The sequence below is a fragment of the Homo sapiens genome, chromosome 1, assembly GCF_000001405.40.
Source record: "Homo sapiens chromosome 1, GRCh38.p14 Primary Assembly".
Lineage (NCBI taxonomy): Eukaryota > Metazoa > Chordata > Mammalia > Primates > Hominidae > Homo > Homo sapiens.
In genome coordinates this window covers 12,138,959-12,154,920 of record NC_000001.11, presented here as the reverse complement: position 1 = coordinate 12,154,920, position 15,962 = coordinate 12,138,959, and the positions used below count along the sequence as shown (strand labels likewise).

The window sequence follows — 15,962 nt, the reverse complement described above, 5'->3', positions numbered from 1 at the left end:
CTAAACCAAAGATTCTCAAAGACACTTCCAGCCATGAAACGCTTTCAAATGAAATCTTAGGCTGGAGAGGTAACAGCTTTCTCAGATTGCTGGTTCTCTGGATCTAGATCCCAGCTCTAGGGCAATAGATCAAGACCCTATCTCTAGAAAATTCAATAAATAGGGCCGGGCGCAGGTGGCTCACGCCTGTAATCCCAGCACTTTGGGAGGCCGAGGTGGGTGGATCATGAGGGCAGGAGATCGAGACCATCCTGGCTAACACGGTGAAACCCCATCTCTACTAAATATACAAAAAAAAAAAAAAAAATTAACCGGGCATGGTGGCGGGCGCCTGTAGTCCCAGCTACTCAGCAGGCTGAGGCAGGAGAATGGCGTGAACCCGGGAGGCGGAGCTTGCAGTGAGCCGAGATCACGCCACTGCACTCCAGCCTGGATGACAGAGCGAGACTCCGTCTCAAAAAAGAAAAAAAGAAAGAAAGAAAATACAATAAATAAATAAATGATTGAAGATAATTTTAAAAAACTACTCAGAAAGGAGGGAAGAAACCAAAATGTTTAAAGGAGTTTCATGGATGATGGGATTGTGTGCAATTTTTTTTTTTTTTAAGGAATACTGATTGTTTTACTTTTGTTGTTGTTGTTACAAGGTCTTGGTCTGGCTGCATCACCCAGGCTGGAGTGCAGTGGCGTGATCTCAGCTTGCTGCAAACTCCGCCTGCTGGGTTCAAGTGATTCTCGTGCCTCAGCCTCCCAAGTAGCTGGGACCACAGGCGCGCACCACCATGCCCAACTAATTTTTGTATTTTTAGTAGAGATGGGGTTTCACCATGTTGGCCAGGCTGGTCTTGAACTCCTGACCTTAAATGATCTGCCCATCTGGGCCTCCCAAAGTGTTAGGATTACTAGCATGAGCCACTGTGCCTCGCCAAGATTGTGTGTAATTTTTATTATATTTATCATATTCCTTATACTTCGTTTCTTCTTTTATTCATCTTTTCCATTTATAAAGTTTGTTTATTTTTATCTTTAAAGTACCAGCAAACTGGGTGCTTGTGCTGAGGGCCACGGATTCTCTGTGTGACCTCAGGCACATCTCTCGCCTTCTCAGGCCTCAGTTTCCCCATCTATACTCTCAGAGGGAGGGGCTGCATGAGGCTGTGAGCCCTGGGAGTCACATACCACTCGTGCACATCATCCTTGCCCCGTGCACTCGGTTTCCTCCAGGCCATGCTGCCCCCTGGGACCTACCAGCCCAGCCAGCCCACAGAGGCATAAACCAGCACATTTTTTTCTCATTAGTGAGATTTCAGCTCAGAGCAAGGGCAGTCAGGGTAGAGGCTTAGAGCAAGGACAGAGAAGGGAGTGACACAGTGAGATGGGCAGTTTCCTGCTAGACTGGACGAGACACAGCTCTGGGCCCATTTCCTTGACGCACTACCCAGCCCTCCCTAGGAAGGCAGCACGTGATACCGGCCCTCTGCTCATCAGTAAGGAGCATGAAATGCTCACCACGTCACTGACCTCATTTCCCCCGCAACATTTCCCCTCCCCAATTCAAAAGAGGAAGAAATAAGTAGTTTTTCCCTGGTGCAATTTCCCAGTCTTCACTTATTCAGACTTTTACGAGTATGTGTGCCTACTGCTGCCCCAGTGAGAGCTGGGCAGGGCTGGGCGTGGATGAGTCACAGTGGGCACACTCCCCGCAGGAGCTTGGGCAGGGTGGGCAGGCGACTTAGAAAAGGGACCAAGGCACCTTGGCTGGAGTGTCCTAGGGGCTTCTTGAAGTAGCTGGCAGTGATTCGGCCACCTCTCATTTGTCCTTCAGGTGAAGTTGGTCTTGAGGCTCTCACTCCCAAGAAACTGGACCTCCTTCCAACCCAGGCTTGTCCTGCCTGCCCCGCAGACTTACTGAGCACCTACTGTATGCCAGACGGAGCAGCTGCTGCCCCTCTGCCACCAGATCGAGATCCTGCTCCTAGACATGTGCCCCAAGGAGGAACCCAGGAACCTTTAGCTCCTAGGAATGAGTGGTAAATTTTCAAACACCAAGAAGCCTAGCAAAAAAAAGGGCTGCTTTAGACAGTTGGGGTATATCAAAAGGAGAAATAGCATCAACTTTGCCATCACCTAGACCTGGGTTCAAGTCTCTGTTCAGGCCATTGACTGGTACGCAACCATGACCTTGGACAAATCACTTTACCTCCCTGAGCCTCCATTTCTTCATCTGTAGAATGGGGATAAATAGCCTCTGCTTTACAGGGGTGCTGTAAGGATCTGAGATGGAGACTCTACAGTGCCTGGCATCTAGTAAGTGCTTAATGAGTGCAGACCCAAAACGTGATGGAGGTCATGTATTCTGCCTTTCCAGAATGGAGCCCAGGTCCCCTAGGGTACAGGAGAGGGTTTCCCTGAGAAGTTCCCAAAGTGCCCAGCCTTGCTTTTCCCCTTCACCCTGGAAGGAAACCCCCTTGGGCTCCAGTTCCCCTGCAGTCCTCCACCCGTCCTGAGGCTGTTGCAACCTCCCACCAAGTAGCCGGCTCAGCCCTGCCAGCCTACCTCCCCAGCTCCTGTAGAACAATTTCCGCCCATGAAATTCTCTCCATCACCTTGCCCCCTTTCTTCTGTAGAAACCTAGAGATGCAAATGCAAGGATGGGGCGATGTCTACCACAGACTCATGATCATAACTACTCACTTCCCCCTGCACACCCTGAATCGCTACATTCTCCCAGACCTTTGTACAGCAGGTGCTACATCCCCAAGCCCTGGCTACACACCTCACCACACTGAGGGCCTACACACCACTTTCTTTTTTTCTTTACAGCAATTACCACCAGCCAATGTTATCCCAAATACTCTTTCTTGTCACTCTGCAGAGGGCAGGGCTGTGTGTCCCCAGCACCCCAGCACGGAGTTTGAGCTTGACAAATATTTATTGAACAAATTAATGGATGAAATTAATCCTTACAACATCTCTTTGGGGTAGGTGCTCTTATTAAACCCATTCTACAGAGGGGAAAGCAGAGACCTGCCTCCATCTGGGCTAGGTGCCATCCACTAGGGTCATGAACCCCAAGCTGCTCTCCATCAAAGCAAATATCATGCTCTAGGCCATGACCAGACTCTAGGTTGGTCTCCCAGTTGGACTGTGACTCCCTGAGAGCAGTACTGTATATCCCCGCCACTGCCCCACTTCACTGTGTTCCCCAGCGCCAAGCACAGTGCCCAACACATAGTAGGTGTTACATACAGATCTGTTGCTTGAGTGACTAAATGAGTGGCTGTATGAATGAATGAATGCATTTCTTCAGAGATATTTTTTGCAAGACTTCTAGAACTTGGCCTCCAGTCCCCCTTCACAGTCAGTGCTGTGGGAGCTTGGAGGTCCTGGGCCTGGGTGTCCTGGAAGGGTTTTTGGAGGAGGAGGAGAAAGATGAGGTTGGAAATTCAGGGGTTGGAGCGCTGAGCAGAGATTTCATGATGAGGATATGCCCTCTGTATTTGGTGACTGAGCGGAAACAGTCGGGTCTCAGGAGAGGTTTAGATATGGGAGCTGTGGAGGTAGCAGCAAAGCTGGATTGGCAGACATTGGCATGTAGGCACTAGGGAGTCATAGAAGGTTCTGTGAGGGAGAGGCCTGGCCACAGCTGGGCTTTGGAAAGGAAAGGTGGGATAAAAACCAAGAGCAAATTCCATTCCCTGTGCATTCACTGAGCCCCATGGATGCCTGCACAGTGTTCTACAGGGTCTGGGACTCAGGGCTGGGGCCTCAGCACAGTGGTGACCTCGGCCTGAGCCACAATGGAGCAGCATGGCCAAGTGTGTGAGGACGCAGACTCCAGCCAGGTGGCCTGGGTTCAAAGCCTAGCTGCGCCACTTAGCAGCTGTGTGACCCTGGGGAACTGGCTTAGCCACTCTGCGTGTTGGTTTCCTCATCTGTAACATAGGGGTAATGTAATAACTACTTCCTAGTGCACTGTGAGGTTTAAGTGAGAGCACACGAAAGCCTCAAGTACAGCTCTTATCATCTTTCTTACTAACCTGTGACTCCATGCATGGCAGGAATAAAGCCTCTTCAACTCTATTGTCAAAGCCCAACCCAGATGGGCACAAAGAGCTTCTCAGGGAACTTTCGATGCATGAACTTGGCCCAGAGGACCCAGGGTCACCCAGCGAGTGCCCCGGTATTCACCAGGAGGTCTTCTGCACAGGGTGAGGAACCCTCCCTCAGTACGTGCAGAAGCTGTATTTCCTGAGTGAAGTGTAATTGCAGTGAAAAACAACATCCCTCCTGACAGCCTGTACTTGCATAATCTACCCACAACTCTATGTGACTTCCTGACATGGTTCTGTGCAACCCAAGTTGGGGGCCCCATCCTGCCCTGGAAGGTCCCAGACCCTGCCCTCTTCCTCAGGAGAGGCCTGGCAAGACCTCTCAGAGCCTTGATTTCCCTATCTAAAAACTAGATAGGGCCTAGTTTGTATGGGTACCAAGCTCAGATGTTCTCTAATCAGACAGATGTGAGCTTGCTTTCCAGTCCTGCCACATTCTGACTGTATGGGTCCCTGAATGCACAGGTCAGCTGCTCAGTCCAGAGCTCACACTCTGGAGACAGACCAGCTTGGATCCAAATTCCAGCCAGAGGAACTTGGGATTCCACCAGGTTATGTAGCTTCCTTGAGCCAACTCCAAGGACAATAATGGCAAAATTACCGAGAGGCTAAAATGAGACAGTATGTGAAGTGCTCCTGCTGACACATAAGATCTCGAGATTCTTTGACACTCCTCCTAATGAGGGGTGGGATCTGTGTCCCCTCCCCTTGAGTCTGGGCTCTGTGACTACCTGGAATGCAGCAAAGGGGATGCAGTGCCAGTTTCCGGGGTCAAATTTTATGACGCTGGCAGTTTCTACTTCCTGCCCCCGGAGTTGTTGGCTCCAGGAACCCAGCAGCCATGCTGTGAGGAAGCCCAAGAAGCTCCACAGAGAGAAACTGACAGCCAGTACCAATTTGCCAGCCCTCTTGGAGGTGGATTCTCCAGCTCATCTCATCACCCCCGCTGGTACTATGTGAGCCGAGATGCACCTCCCCTGCTAAGTCCAGGCCACATTGCAGATTTGTGAGCAAAATTAATGACCATTGTTTTAAGCTATTAAGTTTTGAGGTGATTTGTTATGTAGCAAGAGATGACTGGAACAGTTACATCAGTTACTGGTCATTTAACACTTCTTAAAAATGGGGACATGTGTGCTCATCTATAAGGTCCCTCTGAGGTCACATGACAATGGAGGTAAAATGCTTTGGCATTAAGTGAATTCTGAATTAACGATTTCCCTGCCCCCATGCAAGATCAGCTACATAATTTGTAGAACTCCATGAAAAATGAAAACACAGGGCCCCTTGCCAAAAATTATTCATCACTTTCAAGATGGCGACAGCAGAGCATTAAACCAAGCCCAGGGCCCTTCTGAACCTGGGGCCCTCTGACTGCACGGATCAGTAGCTTGTGAAGCTGCAGAAGCCCAGCTGATGGGATATTTTTGTCTACTCTGTTTACTCTTGCAAAGCTGCCTTGTAAGTAAGAACCCAACCCTCTCACCACAGTTACTTTTAACATCAATTTTTTCTTTAAAGGAAGAATGAAAATCAGCATGTCATCTTTACTGCTCCCTTGGACTAGACAGTGACTTTCCCCTACCCCAGCCCCAACTGACAGCTACAGTTAGAGCTATCTCCATCACACAGCACCAAGCTGGGACCCTGGGAAAACTGCTTTGCCTCTATGGGGCTCAGTTTTCCCATCTGTAAAATGGGAGGCTTGTTCTTGATCGTCTTCCTTCAGGGAGCCTCAGGTGGGGCAGTGAGCAGGATATGAGGTGTTACTGGGGATGGAAAGGGCAATTCCACTCTCAGGCAGTTCTCCCCCAGAGATTCCCTGGACTCAACCCAGCCCCGAGTCTCCCTGGACCTCAGAATCACACGCCTGTAATCCAGTACTTTGGGAAGCCAAGGTAGGAAGATTGCTTGAGCCCAGGAATTCAAGACCAGCCTGGGCAACATAGAGAGACCTGTCTCTACAAAGAAAGAAAAAAAAAAATTAGCCAGTCATGGTGGCACGTGCCTGTGATCCCAGCTACTCGGGAGGCTGAAGCAGGAGGATCACGTGAGCCCAGGAAGTTGAGGCTACAGTGAGCTGTATTTGTGCCACTGCATTCCAGCCTGGGTGACAGAGGAAGACCCTGTCTCAAAAAAAAAAAAAAAAAAGAAAGAAAGAAAGAAAGAAAAAAAAAATCACACACACCTTTGAGGAAAGCTGTGTCAAGGAAGGAGGCCCTGGCTGGGTTAGCTCTGTGTCCTTCCTGTCCGGTCAGAGCAGTCAGAAAGCCACACCCAGCCTGGAGTTTGACCTTGGGCAGGTTACCCTGCCTCTTGCAACTGTCCCTGCCTTCCCATAAAGGGAGGAATAAAATCAGCCTCTATTCTATCTCTCAGTTGTGGTGACTTGAAGATGAAAGGAAACTTATCTAGAAGGCATAGTGCCAGGGGATGACCACGATATGAACACAACCCCTGACCACAGAGGCAGCCAGGCCACCTGGGCATGGGGAGGGATTTAGAATCACAAAGTTGGGGGTTGAACTCCAGCTCTGGGACTTCCCAGCTGTGTGGCAGTGGGCCAGTTGCTTCGCTCCCCCCCACTCCCCGAGCCTCAGTTTGTAAAAGGGAGTGCTGCCACCCAGCCTATCTACTGTCCAGGGTTCTATTAGGAAGCCCAGATGTACAAAGAATGCGGCCTAGGCGAACTCTCAGCTCTTAAGATGCTGCTCTTGATGGCTGTCATTTACTGAACATGGCATACGTGCCCAGACTGGACTTCCACAGTCCCTCTCAGCCTTATAGTTCCTTTTCTTTTTTTTTTTGAAGACAGAGTCTCGTTCTGTCACCCAGGCTGGAGTGCAGTGGCACGATCTCGGCTCACTGCAACCTCCGCCTCCCAGGTTCAAGCAATTCTCCCACCTTAGCCTCCCAAGTAGCTGGGATCACAGGCATATGCCACCATGCCTGGCTACTTTTTGTATTTTTAGTCGAGACGGGGTTTTGCCATGTTGCCCGGGCTGGTCTCGAACTCCTGACCTCAAGTGACCCACTCACCTCGGCCTCCCAAAGTGCTGGGATTGCAGGCGTGAGCCACCGCATCTGGCCCCATTAGGTCCATTTTGCAGACCAGAAAACCCACATTGAACGCACATAAGGGCTTTGCTTGGGACCAAGCAGCTGGGAGCTTGTCGAGCCGGAAGCCACAGCTCCATGCCACCGTCATGAAATGGCCACTGCCTCCATGAGGGCTAAAGGGTAAAAAGCACAGGCCACCGCTGACCCTGTGATACTGAAATGATCCCTCTGCCTCATGACCGGGAAAACAATCACCACACCAAAACACAAACAAAGGCCTCCAGGCTTCCCAGGGTTTTTCAGTTTGGTTTTTACTCTCTGGAAGATACCCAGAGAAAGGGGGAAGCTAGACCGGCAGACTCCTAACCCTACCCATAGCTACAATCATCACCAGGAATGCTGTCTTAGTTCTTTCTGAGAAAACCCATCTAACTGCTTCCTGGCTGCCAGCAGCTGCTGCCTGTTTCCCCAACTTCCCTCCAAAATAGGTTAAAACAACCTTTGCCGCCCCTGGTTTGGCCTTTCTCACTGATTGCTGAAATAATACCAGGATGTTTATTGTTCTACTAGGAAGAAAACAGAAAGAAACATAGACCAGTACTTTTATGATAAAATCTAGGTGCCTAATCACAATGGCCCACCAGGCCCTCCTCCCCAGGCCTTCCCCCCTCACCTCCTTTTTTCCCTCGCCCACCGTGCCTCTTCCACCACTGTGTTCTTCCTGAAACTCGAGGCAGGAGTGTGCCCACTTCAGCTCCCTGCCTTCCAGACCTCGCTGGCTTGTGACATCACTCAGGCCAAGTTCAAAGGGCACCTTCTCAAAGAGGCTTGCCCTGACCACCTAGCTAGTGGTGGCCCTCCCCTCCCACTCTGCCACAGTACCTGGCTCAGACTCCTTGTGGTTCACAGCGTGATCTGACTCTGGAATGACCTTGTGTACTGATTTGATGACGCCACCGTCTGTCCCGTCCACCAGACACAGGACCCACGAGAGCAAGTCTGTGCCCCACTAGTCCTCAGCAGCTAGACCCTTTAATTGAGGAAAGCCCTCGAACAGTAATGTGGTGCAATCTGGAATGTGCTAGAACCACGAGTGAGATGTCCCTCCGGAGGGACCCGCAGCACTTCGCCGACATGCCCAGAGTTACAGACGTCGAATAATGAGCCAGTCCTATGACTGTGATCTGAAGGGTTCTTGGGGTAGCCCACAGAACAAGAAGAGGCCTGCCCACTGCGGGGCTTCCCACAGCAAGTTGGCCCCAAGGGTGGCTAGGTTCCCAGGCTGGCCTGAAAGCTCTGATTAACCTTGATGGGCTGAATTCTGCAGACATAGGAAGGGCTCGCTCTTGACAAGCGGCCACCAGGCTGGAATAAGGACAGAACCTGCCACTCAGCACAAGCCACACACCGAGTGGCATGTCAGGGAAGCCCCACAACCCCGTCAGGTAGAGACTGACACCCCCATTTCACAGACAAGAAAACTGAGTCTGAAAGAGATCATGGAACATAGCCAAGCTCATGCAACTGATAAATGGCAGAGCTGGGATTCGAGCCTGTGTGTGACCCCGCAGCGCCATCACCATCCGCACGCTGCTGTTGTGTCTGAGCTGCAGAGAATGGCAGGCAAGCCTCTCTGCCCTGTGCCTGGCTCACACCCATGGCCCCAACATTGAACACCTGCTCCCCTGGGTCAGCCAGGGGCAAGGGTTCCAGGGTGTTTGGCCAGCATGGGGTGCTGGCTTAGGAGGAGGTGCCTGGCAGAGGGGCCTGGTGGAGGGTGCAGGGGCCTGAGGTGTCCTCAGCAGCTTCTCCTTCAGCCCAAGGAGCCCCCCTTGAAGCTGAACAGTCTCGCCTTGACTAAGCTTTTCTCTTGGGCCGTGGCTGTGAATCTGATGTCCCCACATATTCTGGCCCAAGCAACCCCCACCCCACACTTGCCCCCCCACTGCAGAGGATCGAGGAAGTGGGGGGAAGAGAGAAGGCACCCGAGGAACTGTGGCTGGAGAGCCGCCTCTCATCCCCACACAGGTTTTCATTTCTACTTAGCCCAACCAATCAGTGCCCAGTGACCATGGGACAAAGATGACCAAGACCCAGCCTTGGGTCTTTTACACCTCACTGTTGGAGGGTGAGGTCGTGATGGAGCGAGAGACGCTCTAGGGAGGTCCCCTCGTTCCGTTTTAGGGACTGACCCGAGCCGTGGAGATTCTGTGAACTGTAGAATGGTTTTTACCACCTACAAAAGTGCCTTGGGAAACAATGGCTTTTCTTTGAAGGCAACAGCTTCCATCTGATACTTACCACTTGCTGTCCCTCTCTGATCGCAAATGTTTAGGAAGAGGTGTGTGGGGGTGTCGTCACAGCCTGAGAATTGCTACCTTGAGTAGCAGGGAGCTCTGTCCATCTGCCAACCTGGACGTGAGCACAGCCAGAGAATAGAAGGGGTCCGCTCATCGCTGGGCAGGATGGGGAAATCCACCCTGGCTCCTGGACTGAGTGCATGGCTGGTTCAATGGCTGGGCTGATGTGTGGGTGTGGGCTGGAGTCTTGGGGATGGGGTGGACAGGGTCTGTCTGTGGCTGTGGGTGTTCTCCACCTCGCACAGGAGACAGTCAGAGGAGGCCTCAGGCTGGCTGCCTGGGGTGGAGGCTGGCCCTAAAGTGCCACAAAGCTGTGCCCAGGGAGGCAGGCTGGGCTCCTCCCAGCTCAGACACTGAAGCCCAACACTCCCAGATACCTGTGGTCCTCACCCTGCCTCCCAGGGATCCCAGATACCTGTGGTCCTCCCCCTGCCTCCCAGGGCTTGGGCACTCACGCTGTTCCTTGGAGAATCCCTTCTCCAAAGCTATGGGGCTGCCCGGCCCAGCCCAGAGGGAGGAAGGCCATGGGGAGGCCCAGAAACCTTTCTTCGAATACCTAAAGGGAGCCTTGTGACAACAGTGGCATTTTTTTTTTTTTTTTTTTGAGACGGAGTCTCATTCTTGTCACCCAGGCTGGAGTGCAGTGGCACGATCTCGGCTCACTGCTGCAACCTCCACCTCCCAGGTTCAAGCGATTCTCCTGCCTCAGCCTCCTGAGTAGCTGGGATTACAGGTGCCCGCCACCACACCCGACTAATTTTTATATTTTTAGCAGAGACGGGGTTTTACCATGTTGGCCAGGCTAGTCTTGAACTCCTGACCTCAGGTGATCCACTCGCCTCGGCCTCCCAGTGTGCTGGGATTACAGGGGTGAGGCACCGCAACTGGCCGACAGTGGCTTTGAGTGTCCTCAAAGGGCAGCCTTTGGACCAGGGAGCGGCAATTACATGGAGAAAGAATTTGCCTCGAGTGATAAGGAAAATCTTCCAGCAACAAGAAGGACTGCCCCAGCAGGAAGTGGGCTCCCGGCCCCAGAAGTATCCAATCTACCAGAGACTGGCCACCTTAGTGCCTGGGGGTTCAGTGGGAATTCCTGCCCTGCTGGGAGACTCCCAAAGCCACTTCTGCTCAGGGGTTCTATTAATAACATACTCTCAATTTCGATGATCATGTCCTCAGCCTTACAGTTCTTTAAGGATTTTATGGATTTTTAGAGATTCAAAAGTTGTGTGAAGGGCCACTAGGTAAGGAAGTGCATTATTTTGTTGAAACATGTCAATCCCTCCCATCATGGGCGCCAGACTGCCCTGCCTGGCAGGCGTGTGCCTTCCAGCGTGCCTTACAGCTGCGGCTGTGGGTGATGCAGAGACACCCACTCCATCCTTGCACAAACACTGGGCAAACAGTGTCTGCCCACTTAAGCTTCTTCTGGCCAATGTCCAGGTTCTGGTGTAACCACCTCTCGCAAGGCCACGGCTTCTCCAACTTTCCCCAAAACATCTGAGCGGTTTCAGAAACTATCACTTCCTCCAGAGAGCACGTGGCTGCCCGATGAGTAAACAGCAGCCTTCCCGGGCCTGCCTCCAGGCGGTAAGTCCACGAGTCTCCAGGCTGCCCGCAACTCCAAGACTCATCCTTATCCATCACTCATTTGCATACACGTCTGAAGGCCCTAGGGAGTCAGCTGGCCAGCCGACCGGAAGTCAGGGCCACTACTCCTTAGCGTGAAATGTGAAAAACCCAAAATCCTGATGAAACCTCCAAACGGTCTTGTTTCCTATGGTCCAGAGTAAAGCAGATGCCTGGGTGAGGCCGTGGTGCCTCTCGACATCCACACCCCAAAGCGTGCAGAGCCGGAACCAGGTGGTGGGGTCGGTGCTAGTGGATTTGCAAGCAGGGCAGACCTAAGGAAGATGCTTCTTCATTTCCCAGGACAGAGTGGGTGGGGCCCACAGAGAGCGGTCAAGGACTCCAGGCAGGGCCCGAAGTTCCCCATGTTCACATGGGGAGGAAGTCCCTGGGCAAAGTAAAGCAGGTTCTCTGGGTTGGTGAGGGGCGGTCTGCAGCTGCTGAGGGCTGCAGACATCTGGGACCCGAGGCGCCTGCTGTGGCGGGGATTGGTGGGGACATTCTGAGATGAGTGACTTGATCCTGGGCCCTAGGCCCTGGGCCCACCGAGGGGGCTACAGGACAGGGAAGGTGGGCAGCACCAGGAGGGTCCCACAGTCCAGGCAGGGGCCCTCACACCAGTGCAGAGTACAGTGTGGCCGCTGCAGCAGAGACAGTGCCAGCTGACGACGCCCCATCCCTCGACTTCCCTTTTGACTCTGGAGAAACAACCACAGGCACTGGCTCCATGCCCACTGGGGGCCACATTTACAGTAACTGGGGGCATGCCGGAAGGGCCCAATGGGTGTCACCTCTGAGGTCCAGGGAGAGAGGAGAGTAGGGTTACAGGGGCCCCGGGAGCTGGCCTCACGACCTCTCCCTCGCTGGGCTGTGGGCCTGGTGGTTAAGGTCTGATGCCCAGGGCTCTGGGACCAATGCTGTTCTCGGCAGTGCCCATCCTGCCATCTGTTTGCTGCCTCAACCAACATCACTGCTGGGATCCAGTCCCCTTGGACTGTCTCTTCTGTACAAGCCCCGGATCCCCTAGGCTCTGGGTCAGGGGACAGCTAAGTTGGGGATGCAAGCAGAGACCACCAGACCCCTGCAGTGACCGGCCGGTCCACCACTAGATGCTGGAGCCTCAGTTCAGGCCAGATGGGCCTCTGCCCCCAACCTCGGTGCCAACAGTGCCATCCTGGCCTCCCAGAGGCCACCCTGCTGCCCTCCTAGCCCCAGCCCAGCCCAGGCCTCACTTTCCAGAGGCAGCTGTGGGCAAGGGGTCTTCTTTCCCTTCCTCTTCCACTGAGAGCATGACATCGCTGCAGCTGCCCAGAGGCGGTTCTGTCTCCTGCTCGGGGTAGTGGGGGGTATGGTCCGCCTCCAGCTCCTCCTCCAACTCGGGCTCTGCTGGCCCCGCCAGGCCCCGGCCCTCCGGCAGCTCAGCCTTCACGGTCCCCACGATCACGGTGTCAGCCTTCATGATGTAGATTTTCTCTGCAAGGCAAAAGGATGGGTGAGCGAGGGAGGCCAGAGCACCAGCCAGGATGGGAGCAAAGAGGCAGAGAAGGGCCGAGGCCCAGTGCTGGTACACCTGCCGGGTGGCTTCAGGCTGATGGCACAGCCTCTCTGATGTACCTTACAGGCATCCTGGGGGCTCAGAGGAAATAGAACAGCTAGGAGCTGGGCCTTGAGGAGTTAAGAACCAGCCCACTTGTACTTAGGATTTTCTCAGCACATCTCTGCGGATGGGTAGGGAAGAAGAGGACAGGGTGGGACAGAAAGCAAACTGTGGACAAAAACAGGCAAAGCCGTGGGTAACCAGAGCACGAGCAGAAACAGCAGAGCTGAGCAGTTTCCACACCCCCACTCCTGGGTCCCCAGCCCTCCTGCAAGGCGGACCCCATCAAGATTCCCATTTACAGGTAAGAATCTGAAGCCTGGAGAGGTTAAATGACCTGCCCAAGGTCGCCACGTAGTTAGGAGAAATCCCCCAAAAAAAAACCACCCACTCCGCCTGGTGGCCCTTTCTGCTCCTATCTGTGTGCCTGCAGCCAAAACCCGGGGTGACCAACTTGTCCAGCTTGCCCGGGAACATTCCTGGTTCTACTACTGCAAGTCCCGTGTCCTGGGAGTCCCCTCGGTCCGGGCAAACTCAGCCAGCCTGTCACATCCTGCAGAAAACCCGGCCCCCTCAATAGGTCTCGGCAGCCCATGATTGAGACAGCCTGGCTCAGGCCGTGAATTTCGGGGCTTACTGCTCACAGCCGGTCTCCTGCCTGCAGCGTGCATGGCTGTGCTGTGAGCACATGGTGGGAGCTTGGACGGAGGGCCGGTCCTCGCCACAGTCTGATGTGGGGGCTTCTGGTGTGGCCTTCTGATAGAGGGGACATGGGGGCTCAGGTTCAGTGGCCCGAGGAGCTGGGGAGTGGGGAAGCCTGGCCTCCGCCCAGCTGATGGTGTCTGGCTCAGGGTGGGCTGGCTCCCAGCTGTTCTGCGCTGGACTCTGGAGGCCAGAATGGGGAAGCTCAAGAGGGAACTTGAGAGCTGGGGTGGGGTGGGGGTGCAGGGACCCCTGCCTTTCTGGGTAATGCAGTTATACCCCTCGGATTCAGGAACCCCAAAAAGGTTCTCGAGTCCCCCACACCCTCAACCCTATTGCATGACGCTGGTTCTTCTATTCTGGTTTTGAACACCCCCAGGAAAGAGAGAAGTGCGCCAAACGGCAGCAAGAGGAGAAGGCCCAGAGTGCGGGACAGGCTATGGGCTGGGCGCCCCCACAGACCCCAAAACAGAGCAGGGCCTCAGCACTCCCCACACCTCCATCAGGCTTGTGGGCTCCCAGCCCTAGGAGCCCTATAGAGGGCTGGGCAAAAGATGGGGGCCGGGGGTGGTGAGAGAGGAGACCCCAGGAGGGGAGAGAAGGCCCAGAGGGGGATGGGCAGAGAAGATGAGAGGCGGGTGGGGTCAGGTGGGAGGGAAGTGAGGGTGGGGGTGCTGGATTAGGGAGAAGGAGCCACAGCTGGGGACAGGCTGGTCCCCTCACATTCCTCAGGGAAATGGGCAGGAGTCCCCAGGAAATCTGGAATTAACTGGATTCAAAGCGGTGGAATTGGCTGCTCTGGGTGAGGAAGCAGCTCCCACTGAGCTCGGAAGTGAAAGAGGGGTCTGGAAACTTCAGAGCCGGCCATGAGGGGTCTGCCCCGCTCTGGCTCTGCCCCCATCACAGGCTGCCTACTCCCCAGGCTGTGGGGGTGGCTTCCAAGGGCTGCATGGATTTCCTGCCCCCTCCCCAGAGCTCCAGAGTCCAGGGAATTCATCTTGGCTATGTGGGGAGGGCAGGTGAGGAAGTTGGGGGGAAAGGGGTTCTTCCCTTGCCTGGTTCCCAGGGGAAGAGGGACGATGTACAGACCCCAGTGTGACCCCTCTTGGGAACTGGATGGGAAGGGGGAACGCTACCCTGGGCTGGCATTAGGAGGACAAGGGGGTTGCCTGTGTCTTGGGTGCCCAAGAGAACCTCCAAGGCCTTCCCTTTCCACCATGGCGGAGGTGGCCCCCGATCCACTCACCAGCAAGGCCTGCAGGCCATGCCAGGGGAGGGCAGCCCACACCTGAGCCAGCTGCCTGGGAGCCTGGTACTTCCTTCTCCTCCCCATCAAACACCCTCTGAACCCCACCCCTGGGATTCCAGGCACTGTACTCAGTGTGGACTCAGAAGTTCCAGTTAGGACTTCTTAGGAATTCTGAAGAAGCCTTTGATGGTATTTCCCAAAATACATACTTTTCAAATAAAACTTACTAAAAGCTACCATTTCAAAAGCTTCAGTTTGTTACAAAAGACTGCCCAGGCTGGGCATGGTGGCTCATGCCTATAATCCCAGTACTTTGGGAGGCCAAGGCAGGCAGATCACCTTGAGGCCAGGAGTTCCAGACCAGCCTGGCCAACAGAGTGAAACCCCATCTCTACTAAAAATACAAAAAATTAGCCAGGCATGATGACACTCGCCCATAATCCCAGCTACTCAGGAGGCTGAAAAAATAAAAAGAGAAGATGACTGCCCTGAAGAGTTCTGGCCACCACTGTCTGCCATAGAAATGCACAGGACAATTACAAATGACTCTTCAGTATTATCCCAGTGCCAGTTACCCTTCCAGAAGCGACAGAGGTGGGGTCCACCAAGGCCCTGCCCACAGGGAGCACAAAGCCAGGTGGAGGTGGAGGAAGGCTATAAACACGCAGTCACACCACTGGGTGCTAGGACACCGGGTAGGGGAGGCCTGGGTTCTTAGGGAGCATAGCATGGTGGAGAGGGCACAGAAGGCTTCCTGGAGGAAGGGGCAAATAAGCAGGGTCCCCAGGATATCCAGAATTAACTGGATTCAAGGCAGTGGAGTTGGCTATTTCAGGCGAGGGGGTAGCTCCCATTGAGAAGCTCAGAAGTGACAGAGGGGTCTGTAAATTTGGGAGACTGCCATGAGGGGGAGGGACAGACTGTGGGGTCAGAAGGTAGGTGAGTCTGGTCGGGGAGCTACAACTTGCTGTCAGCCTTGAGTGCTGGAATAAGAATGCTGGAATTCATCCCATAGGGAATGGGAAGCTGCTGGAGGCTTCTCGGCAGGAGTGCAATAGGGTCAGGTATACATTTTGGGGAAAATGCCGTACCAAGGTGATGAGAAGCAAGAGAGGAGGCAGGGAGGCCCACAGGAGGCCAAAGCCAATGTCTGTCCAGGCTGGCAGCAGCTGCCGTTGGGAAGCTCTGAACATCTGGGCCCCATCTGTCCTCCTGCTTCTGCAGAGGGTGGGTGGTAACGTGGACAAACCACG

General features: G+C 53.9%; 1 protein-coding gene across 6 annotated transcripts in view, besides 4 other annotated features; it reads right to left on the bottom strand.

The window, feature by feature from the left end:
* Window positions 6,370–6,499: an enhancer, noted in NCBI's record as "active region_206". NCBI's record gives its function as "activates an Ori minimal core promoter by ATAC-STARR-seq in GM12878 lymphoblastoid cells {active_cell/tissue: GM12878}" and the evidence as "EXISTENCE:reporter gene assay evidence [ECO:0000049][PMID:35858748]".
* Window positions 8,353–8,432: an enhancer, noted in NCBI's record as "active region_205". NCBI's record gives its function as "activates an Ori minimal core promoter by ATAC-STARR-seq in GM12878 lymphoblastoid cells {active_cell/tissue: GM12878}" and the evidence as "EXISTENCE:reporter gene assay evidence [ECO:0000049][PMID:35858748]".
* Window positions 9,513–9,572: an enhancer, noted in NCBI's record as "active region_204". NCBI's record gives its function as "activates an Ori minimal core promoter by ATAC-STARR-seq in GM12878 lymphoblastoid cells {active_cell/tissue: GM12878}" and the evidence as "EXISTENCE:reporter gene assay evidence [ECO:0000049][PMID:35858748]".
* Window positions 9,633–9,722: an enhancer, noted in NCBI's record as "active region_203". NCBI's record gives its function as "activates an Ori minimal core promoter by ATAC-STARR-seq in GM12878 lymphoblastoid cells {active_cell/tissue: GM12878}" and the evidence as "EXISTENCE:reporter gene assay evidence [ECO:0000049][PMID:35858748]".
* Window positions 10,714–15,962, bottom strand: part of TNFRSF8 (TNF receptor superfamily member 8) — an 80,905-nt gene continuing 75,656 nt past the window's right edge. For all 6 annotated transcript variants that reach the window (NM_001243.5, XM_011542441.4, XM_047434793.1 and 3 more), the window contains one exon: window positions 10,714–12,634. In NM_001243.5, coding sequence (NP_001234.3) covers window positions 12,390–12,634 — 245 coding nt within the window. In that variant the 3' untranslated portion in view covers window positions 10,714–12,389. The remainder of the gene's footprint in view (window positions 12,635–15,962) is intronic.